General features: G+C 50.1%; 1 protein-coding gene across 2 annotated transcripts in view; it reads left to right on the top strand.

The window, feature by feature from the left end:
* The first annotated feature begins 6,162 nt into the window (after positions 1–6,162).
* GPR139 (G protein-coupled receptor 139) overlaps positions 6,163–9,885 on the top strand; it is a 45,652-nt gene continuing 41,929 nt past the window's right edge. Inside the window, exons 1-2 of one of the 2 annotated variants that reach the window (NM_001318483.1) lie at positions 6,275–6,563; positions 9,031–9,129. Coding sequence is in view for 1 of the 2 variants with exons in the window: in NM_001002911.4 (NP_001002911.1) it covers positions 6,437–6,563 (127 nt within the window). In the remaining variant the exon portion in view is untranslated. Of the gene's footprint in view, positions 6,564–9,030; positions 9,130–9,885 lie in introns of both variants that reach the window. The other variant, NM_001002911.4, reaches the window with a different exon arrangement.

Raw genomic sequence — 9,885 nt, 5'->3', positions numbered from 1 at the left:
GGCAAAGCAGAAGCCATTGATGGAAAAAGCCAGGTATGCATTTGCACCTGATCAGCCAGGCCTGCAGTCAGGCAAACGTCTATACTTTTCAGTTTTAAGAGCCGATACATTCCTTTTTAAAAATTAAACTAGTTTAAGTTTTTCTTCATCAATTTCAATAAAAAGAGTCCTGGGGAACACACAGTTACTAAGGGAGCTGAGCTGGGATTCAAACCCAGGTCTGGATGTAAGCCTCAACAGTTGACAGTTACACTGCTTGCACTGCAATTAGGTTCTGCATTGAACATTCCAGGATGAAGGACACTTCCCTCGCCAGGAGGTGATCTTAATGCAGGAAGGGCAGATAACAGATAACCTTTGAGTGCCAACACAATGTGGTAAGAGATGTTTCAGGAGAAAGACTGTCCATGTGGGAGGTAAACAGGGATGTGCAGGTCAGGAAAGATTTTGAGGTCAAAGTTATCCTTTAAAGGAGTCCTGAAAAGCAGGGAGAAACCAGAGGGCAAGCTACAGTCTGTAGGAAGTGGGAGGACAGAGGATTCAGCCAAGTGGACCCAGGGTGCTACAAGCCCCATTTCATCTGCCCTTCCATCTAGAACAACCTTAATCATAATCACTGTGCATTTGCCTTTCACTTCCTATCAATCTGTCTGTCTATTCATCTATCTCCGTCTCTCTGTGTCTTTCTCCACATCTCTGTCTCTCCCTCTCTCTCTAGCTGACTCTTTACTCTCTTTCGCTCCTAACTCCCTTTCTCACTTTGCCTTTCCCTCTCCCTCTTTCTTTGCACACACACTCTCCTAACTTCTGGAATGCAGCCCACTCCATCATTAATACCACCCTAGTCCAAGCCACTATCATTTCTCACATATCCAACATGACAACCTCGAAACTCGTCTACCCACTTCTATTCTTGCCTCTTTTCCATCAATTCTCCACCTCCCTGACATAGTAAGTATTTGAAAATGCAAATATAATCACAGCACTCCCCTGCTTAAAACCATGGATAAAGACCTAACTTCTCCCTGTAGCCTACAAGACCCCACTCACTGCCTAACTGCATGGATCTGCTTGTACTGCACCTACACACACACACACACCAACACACACACACACACACACACACAGTCCCTGGTCTCCCACCTCCTCAAAGAGTTCTTCTCACTCCCACCCCAGGGCCTTTGCACTGCCTCTTTCTTCCACCTGGGATGCTCCCCTCACCCCTAGACCAACATCCCTTCACTACTTATCCTTCATCTCTTAATCCTTACTTATCCTTCACATATCAGCTCAAATATCACTTCCTCAGAGAAGCCTTCCCTGACCACCAGACTACATAGAATTTTCCTTGACTCCTTGGTGCATGCTGGCTCATTCCTTTCACTTTTTTTTACAGCCCATATCCAAGCCCCAACCACAGTTGGCTTGAGTGCGCCATTGTCATACAGAACCAATCAAGTGGATCAGCCCCTTGAGCAAATTATCCGTGGGGGTGTGTGTGTGTGTATGAATTGATTCATGCCTATATCTTGCACTTGACTTAAAGATCCAGGAAAGCAGAGACCACGTCAACTTTTAAAAACAATTGTATACCCAGAATCCCATACAGTGACTAGCGTACGCATATCTAGTTTGTTACAGTCCCCACTACTCCCTATTGCCTTCCAAACTCTGAGTAAAGTGTTAGTTGCAATTTAAGTTATGTTTATGTTGTTGTTTATCTTAAAGAATTATCCCTTCATACCGCCACCTCTATCAAAGGGTGGAGAAACAGAATCTAGACCAAGAGGACCAAGAGTTTCCAGGAAAAATGGGAGATAGCATATTTCCTATGAAAGTGAAGAATGTGGCTGGGCACAGTGGCTCATGCCTGTAACCCCAGCACTTTGGGAGGCCAAGGCAGGTGGATCACTTGAGATCAGGAGTTTGAGACCATCCTGACCAATATGGTGAAACCCCATCTCTACTAAAAATACAAAAATTAGCCAGGCATGGTGGCAGGTGACTATAATCCCAGCTACTTGGGAAGCTGAGGCAGGAGAATCTCTTGAACCCAGGAAGCAGAGGTTGCAGTGCACTCCAGCCTGGGTGACAAGAGCAAGACTCTGTCTCAAAAAAAAAAAAAAAAAAAAAAAAAAGCTGAGGCAGGAGGGTCACGAGGTCAGGAGATCAAGACCATCCTGGCTAACACAGTGAAACCCCATCTCTACTAAAAATACAAAAAAAAATTAGCCGGGCATGGTGGCAGAGGCCTGTAGTCCCAGCTACTCGGGAGGCTGAGGCAGGAGAATGGCGTGAACCTGGGAGGCGGAGCTTGCAGTGAGCCGAGATTATGCCACTGCACTACAGCCTGGGCGACAAAGCAAGATTCTGACTCAAAAAAAAAAAGAAAAAGAAAAAGACAGTGAAGAATATTTATTACCTGCCCAGGCTCACAGGCATTCAAGTGTGAAACTCCTCCTCTAAAATTCTGTATATATTTCTATTATATTTATTTATTAACTAATCTAAGTTTTACTTCTGGACACCTACCTGGCACTGCTCTTGGCACTAAGGATACAGTGAAGGATAAGACAGATGAAGATCCTGCCTTCATGTTACAAAGAGCCTACGTGACAGTGTGTGACGTTTCCTATCACTTACCTATCCTTCCACTAGTCTGAGCTCCTGATGGTTTCAGCACAGGCTCTGGAGCCAACTGCCTTGGATTCAATTCCAACCAGGTGTTCTTGGGCAAATTACTAAACTTCTCTCTGCCTTGGTTTTCTCATCTGTGAAATGGGGCTAATAATTATACCTTCCTTCCATTGTGATAATGAAGATGCAATGAGTTAAGTCGTGGCTGTCTCTTAACAAACCCTCAGTAAATGTTAACTCTTATCACTCACCTGTGTCTCCTAAGCCGGACTGGCCTCATGGATGTGTGACCTATGTAGTCACTCAAGGTCCCATGCTTGAAAGGGCTCCATGCTTGGTTTAATGCTCTACTCTTGGTGTCTTGAAATTCTTAATAATTTTTGAACAAGAGACCTCGCATTTTTATTTTGCACTGGGCCTTGCAAATTATGTGGCTGGTCCTGACCAGCATATGTTACGTGTCCGGTAACATTCTGTTGAAAGAATGAATAAATGAATGAATTCAGCCAACCACTGTTGTTGAACTGAGTCTGCCATTGTCATACAGAACCAATCAAGTGGATGAGCCCCTTAAGCAAAATTAAACAGACTTTTGTTGTTAACTCATCCTGCCCATTCCCTGGGACCCAGGAACACTCAAAGCTTGACTTAAGTCTTTAAAGATCTTCTCATCCAGGCCAGGTGCATTGGCTCATCACCATAATCCCAGCACTTTGAGAGGCTGAGGCAGGAGTTTGAGACAAGTCCACGCAACATAGTGAGACCATCTCTTCAAAAAAATAAAAAATCTTCTCATCCAAACTATCCATTTTCCAGGAAACTTGGACCTTGACAAACTGCCAGTGTTCCTGATGGAGCCAGCAGAGGACCCAATCCAATTCCCCATTCTCCAGAACTGCAGTCTGCACCATACGCACCACACCCCTCTTTTTCTCCCAGCTCAGCATTCCTGGGACAAAGGCATACCTGATTTCTTTCATCCCCATTTTACACGGAGAAATAAAGATTCAGACACAATAAGGTCCGTCAAGATTTCCCATGCAGTCCAGTCCCTCTGCCTAGCCAAGTTTGTAGTTCTGTGAATTCAAACCACTCAAATCATTTTTGGAGTGACTTGTCATACATGATCATTATATGCTTAATCCCCCTAACCCCAACAGCATTCTGAGACCCTGGCCTGCAAAGACAAGCAAAGATAAACTCATCTCCCTGCAGGCCCTGGGTGCTGAGTCCATTCATTCTTTCGATGTCTGTTGAGAGTCTGCAGCATGCAGGCACCGTGTGAAGCTGAGACGCAACCAGGAACGACACAGACAAAAGGCCCTGCCTTTCTAAGAGAAAGAAAAGTAAATAAATACAACGTGTATGGTCTGCTGATGGCGCTATACACTATGCAGAAAAATTAAGCAGCGAGGGACAGAGGATGTGAATACTTTGAGGTGGGAGAAGAATAGAGATTTCAATAGGGAGGGGAGTAGAGATTTCAATGTAAATAGGATTATAAGGGAAAGCTTCAAAGAGAAAAGGACGGATAAGCAAAGACCCTAAGAAGGTGAGGAAACAGCTTTCTGTAGCTGTGCAGAGGAAGAACATTCCAGGCAAAGGGAATGGCCAGTGCAAAAGCCCAGAAGCCTTATCCATCATTCCCAATGCAGAGGGCATCTTTGAAGAGACTAGGAGGGCTTTGTCAGATCACATACATTTCCCCCGCCCCTGGCTATCCCCAACTTCTCATCTCAGTCTAGCTGCCTGCAGACCAATCCAATCTATAGGTTTTTGAACAATTATTTATTGAGCTTCTACAATGGCCAGCCACTGCTTTATTCATCAATGCAGCGGTGTTCTCGTTTTCTTTGTGTTTGCAGTAGTCATATTTAATCGAGAGAGGTCATAATAAAATTTCAGTATCTAATGGGGCTTGAAATCTCAGACCTGGCCTCACTGGGCTGGGTCCATGTGACTCTAATCTGCCCTTTTGTGGGGCCACGTGCCTCCTTGCTTACCACAGACCCAGCTAGATCCAGTAGATGCCCCCCTTATGCAGACTGCCTGACTCTGTATGCTTTGGAGATTTCCACTCTGCCCTAGAGTGTCCCCCATCCCTGCCTGGGGTAACCTCTAACAAAGACAAGAACTGGATACATGCTCTTTGCTGGTCTTGAGGGACAGGGGTCTGCTCCACGTTGGGAGACCTGGAAGAGGCTGGGGAAAGCTTAGCCAGTTCCTTCTCTCCAGGAATGGATGTGATATAGGGGTGAGGGGCGTTGGGAAGCAGCGGGAGTGGGGGGTTTGAGGGCGGGGGGTCTTAGGCTTCTCAGACCCATCACAGCTCTTTGCATAGGCAGCTGCTACAGTCTGCTCCTGGGGATGCCTGGCCTGGGTGTTCCTGCAGAATCTTTAACTCTCTCACACTCACTGTCTTGAGCCCCAGACAGACACTATGTCCCTCTCTCTCTCTCTCTCTCTCTCCTCTCTCTCCTCTCTCTCTCTCTCTCTCTCTTTCTCTCCTCTCTTTCTCCTCAAGTCTGTGGTGGCCACACCCGGAACCCTCCACCTGCCTGCCCTGAGGAGAAAGGACCACCCACCCACACATTGCTTGGATCCCACCTGCCTTACAAATGCTACCCTTCACACAACCTTCAAGCACTCTCGACAAGCCCCCATGACTCCCGCGTGCGTTTTCGTATGTTTGGAGCGCCCTGTGAGTGTGGTCTTGTGCATGGTGATGAGGATGCCTGCGTGTTTTCAAGGGTCTGGGTGTGGGATGGGAGAGCATCCGCGTGCCTGAGTGAGCGTGTGAGTACACCGCATGCCTGGGTATTGTGTGTCTTTGTGTGAGCGTGGGCGAGTGCGTGTTTGAGTGTCTGCAACATCCTTATTCCTGACTGAAGGGCGGCATGCAGGAGGGGCTTCTCTTAGCCAGTCTGTATCCTCTTCAAACGCACTCCAGTTAGGGGACAGTTCACCGGCGGCCACCCCCAGAGTCGCCACACACACGCACAGGGAGGCACGCACCCCTCTTTCCAGAGCCAGCAAGCTCAGCTTCCCTTGTCGAGGAAAACCGACAACGCTTTAGCATCCTCGCTGCTCCAACAGCCCCACCCCTTCCCCCGTTCTTTGCCCTAGGTATAGAATCCTCTATCCGGAGATGGACTGGAAGCATTGGAGAGGGGCAAGAGAGGTGGCTGCGAGGAGAGTGGAGAAAGGCAAACTGAGGACACGCTGGAGGAGTGAGGAGCCGCTGCGGGAGAGGCAGATCCTACCCACACCACGCCCCTCCCTCGGGGTTGGAGATTGGGGATAGCCTGTTTTCCACTCCGGTCTTCCTTCGGGGCTCCCAGGTCTAACTGCATCTTCTCCCCTGAAAGTGGAGCCAAGCGAGGCGGCTGGGACCCCCTCCTCTTCCGCATCCCTCCCACCCCACACACACTCCGCTTCCAGGCAGCCGCTGATTGGCTGCGGGGAGCGGCGTCCCAGCCCCCCGGCTTTGAGGCGGGAGTGGAGCGGGTCCGAGGTGGGAGGCGCACAGACGGGCTCCGGGAGCCCCTCCCGAGGCCCCGCGCAGCGCGCCCCGCACCCTGCGCCCCGCGCCCTGCGGGAGGGCTGAGCCAAGACTCCAGGCGGGCAGGTGCGGAGCGAGCAGAGGGGATCACGGCCAAGGGTAGGAGCCAGTCCTGCGGGGAGAGAGGCGCTGCTGCTCCAGCTGCCGCTGCCTCCGCCGCCGCCACCACCGAGCCGGCGACCAGAGTCGGGCTGGCAGGCCGGGCGCGAAGCGGCAAGGGGAGCGAGGGGCGCGCTCATGGAGCACACGCACGCCCACCTCGCAGCCAACAGCTCGCTGTCTTGGTGGTCCCCCGGCTCGGCCTGCGGCTTGGGTTTCGTGCCCGTGGTCTACTACAGCCTCTTGCTGTGCCTCGGTTTACCAGGTGAGGGGCGTGGGGGAGAGGGAGGGAAGCCAGGAACCCCAAGTGCCGGGCAACCCTACCCAGAATCCCCCGTCCTCCCCCGTGCGTTCCCTGGCGCCCCCTCGGAAAAAGTTTAAGCTTTAAGGGCAACTATGGATATTTCCACACGGGGGGAAAGGAAGTTGCTGTGCCCTAGCTGGGGACCGTGTGTGTGTGTGTGCGCGCGCGAGCGTGTGTGTGTGTGTGTGTGTGTGTGTGATGACTGTGACGGCGGGCGATGGGCTGGGCATGTGAGCATGGATTCGAAGGTGCATTTGTGCGCGCATCTGGAGGGGGCGGCTTTCATGGGGTGGGGGCGTAGAGGGCTTTGTGTGTGTTTGGCTTGACTGCATGTTCTGGACAGAAGGCTTCGTGGAGGCTTCCCTTCTCCCGTGGCCCCTGCACGTCCACCCCACTTGGGGCACCTCTGCCCCTCTGCGTGTCCCCGCCTGACACGAGATGAAGCTGGAGACCCTGACATTGAGCACTCTCTTGCTCGGGGGGCACTGGAATGGAGAAAGAATGCCTAGCAAGAAAAGGGTCTCCCAGCTGGCTAAGGAGAATCAGGGGTTGGCTCTGGGACCATGCCCTGGCCAGGGCAAGGGTGCAGAGACACACAGGGCAGCCTGCGGTGGCTGCCACCTCAGGGGGTCACAGTCTCCTTGAGGACATGCCTGGCCCCCTGGCTTGGCCTCCAGGTCTACCCACCCTGGGCAGCTCACGGCTGCTGTGGATGTCTGGCTGGTCCCACATCTTAATGTCCTTTCCAAAGTGTGGCTGAGACTTGTCCTGAATTCCTGAAGAGAGCTGAGCTGCCGAGAAGGAGGGAGTGCTTGCCTGGGCCGTGTGCGAGAGAGAGCGAGAGAGAGAGAAAGCTTTTTTCCTGGGGCTCCAGCTTTGGGTGGACCCTCCTTGCAGGCAGTCTTGGTGACAAATAGATCCCTAAAGATTACTTGCATGCAGAGAGGAGAGAGGGACTGAAAGAAGCAGAGAGAAAGAGAGAAAAAAAATCCAGTGTACAGCCTGAAATCTTAGCATCATCTCCCTAGTCATCTCTTAGTCTGCGAACCTTAGCATCTTGCGATCCTGGGAACTTGGGAGCTGGATTTCTGAGAGCCTGGCTGAGATTTCCTTTCCCAAACATTCAACTTGGCAGTCAGGGCCCCTGATGAGATTGTTTCAATAAATCCCCCCTCCCAAATTTGGCAGGCATGAGAAAGCGCAAGTTTACTAATGTGTGAGCCTCTCTCCCCAAGCCAGTGATGAGGCTTTTATTCCTAACTAATCGCCACGGCTGCCCTAGGAGAGCAGCTCAGCCTCTGACTTGCCCTGCCGGGGTGGTAGCACATGTCCTGTAATTACCTTGAGCTGGGATTGATTTTAGTCCAGGTTCCACCTCCCCCCTTCAGCCCTTCGGAGCTTCTCTCCCCAGAGCACTGTTTTGGGAAATGAGTTTTTGAGAAGGTTGGTTATTTGATGATGCTTGCTGAACTGGAAAAGTGTAAGAACCTCTTTCCCCCTCAGCATTCCCATCAGAATGTCCCCCCAACAATCCACCCACCCTTGCACCTCCTCTACTGAGTGAGATAGCCACTCACTCACTCACTATCCCAGGCTTTTCTAATGAAACCATTTAAGGGACAGAGACAAAGACAAGCAGAGGTTGACCCTTCAAGAGTTCAAAGCAGGGACAAGAGGATGGAGAAAATGAGGAAAAACTTAGGCCTTTAAAGACCTCAAGGTGGAAGCCAAGGTACCTCGCACCTTCACATCCCAACTCCTATGCCAGCTAGGGCCTTCCTGACACACAGCATTGACATCTACTGTATGCCAGGCACTATGCTAGCCACAGGCTTAGCCCAGAGTTTGGGAACTTAAAAGGATGAAGCTAGGATTAGGATTTAGCTGTTGTTGATGTCTTCATACCCTCAACTAATAGTTTTGGCCACTATGGTATGCTAAGTATTAACTGGGTGTCAAAAGGACACAAAGTCCTAGGATGCAGTCTCTGAGTTCCAGGAGCTCCCAAATGCAAGCGCATGATTCCAAAGACAGCAGATGGATGCGTAAGGACCAAGCAACCTAAAGAAGAATGACTGGGGAGGCCAGGCTTATCCAAAAGTCTTGGTCTGCTAGCAGTTTTGTTAACAGCCCACAAGGCTGGTTCAAAGGTGAATTCTTTAAGTCATTCTCTTAAAACCATAAGGGGAGACAAGCATGTCCTGGCAATGAAGAGTGAATGTTAATCCAGATTCTGCTGGGGTGAGGTTGCAAGCTTTTCATGTCTCTGTGCCTCAGTTTCCACAGCAGTAAAATGGGAATTATGAGGGTAGCTATCCCCTGGAGTGGTGTTGAGAAGTAAGGATGTTGCTGCAGATGATGGCACTAGCGAAATGCTCGCCTTGGTGCCTGACATTCATTTATTGACACTGCACTGCTGTGGTCATAGATATCATGAAGCCGATCAAGTTGTAAGGAGGGCGGTCTGCTTGCTCAGCCCCACCAGTGACCAGAGGAGGGACTGAGATACACAGAAGAAAGCATTCAGGTCAGCATGTAACTCTGCGTGTTGAGCTCACCACAGTGGTCCCCACCCATCACCTCCCTTCCCCAGCCACCAGCAATTAGCAAACTCTCATTACTCCACCACTGACTGGGAGACGCAGCTTTGCTGGGTGTGGAGTAACAGACCACAGCTCTTGCTCATATTGTTGAAAACTGAGATTTTAATTGAATCACTATTCCTGGCAGTGGACTCACCCCAAGTTTCCCAAATTCTCGCAGTAGTTGTTGGAGACATGGGTGGGAACTGAGGGATGGATGGGGAGCGCCTGAATGTTTAGCAACAGCAGAGCTAGTATCACAGGAAAGTGGTGGATGTCTCTGACTACCTTCGGTCTCTAGGTTGGGAGGAAGAGCTAGGGGATTGCCCCAGACAGTCTAATTTTTAACTGGTTGGTGTAGGATCGAAGAAATTCTAATGTGAAATATGGGTACAGCTTTGCCACTTAAGAACTCTTCACCTCTCTTCATCATAATTTTCCCCATCTGCAAAATGGGGGCAACAGTAGTACCTCTTACCCACACAGGTGGTATATATGAAATAAGATCATCTATGTAAAAATGGCTTAGCACAGTGCCTTGTCCAAGAAAAGCACTTATTCCTCACTCAGTGCCTTCTCCACACTGGATCTCTGTCACCTATATTATTACACTTAATCCCTGCCACACCTCTGCGACCTATACCTGTCTTTGAACTCATTTTACAATGAACAAACTGAGACTCAGAAAAACGAAGCATCTT

Source organism: Homo sapiens, chromosome 16 (assembly GCF_000001405.40).
Source record: "Homo sapiens chromosome 16, GRCh38.p14 Primary Assembly".
Classification (NCBI taxonomy): Eukaryota; Metazoa; Chordata; class Mammalia; order Primates; family Hominidae; genus Homo; species Homo sapiens.
Note: the sequence above shows the minus strand (reverse complement) of the source record. Positions and strands in the feature narration are given on the sequence as shown.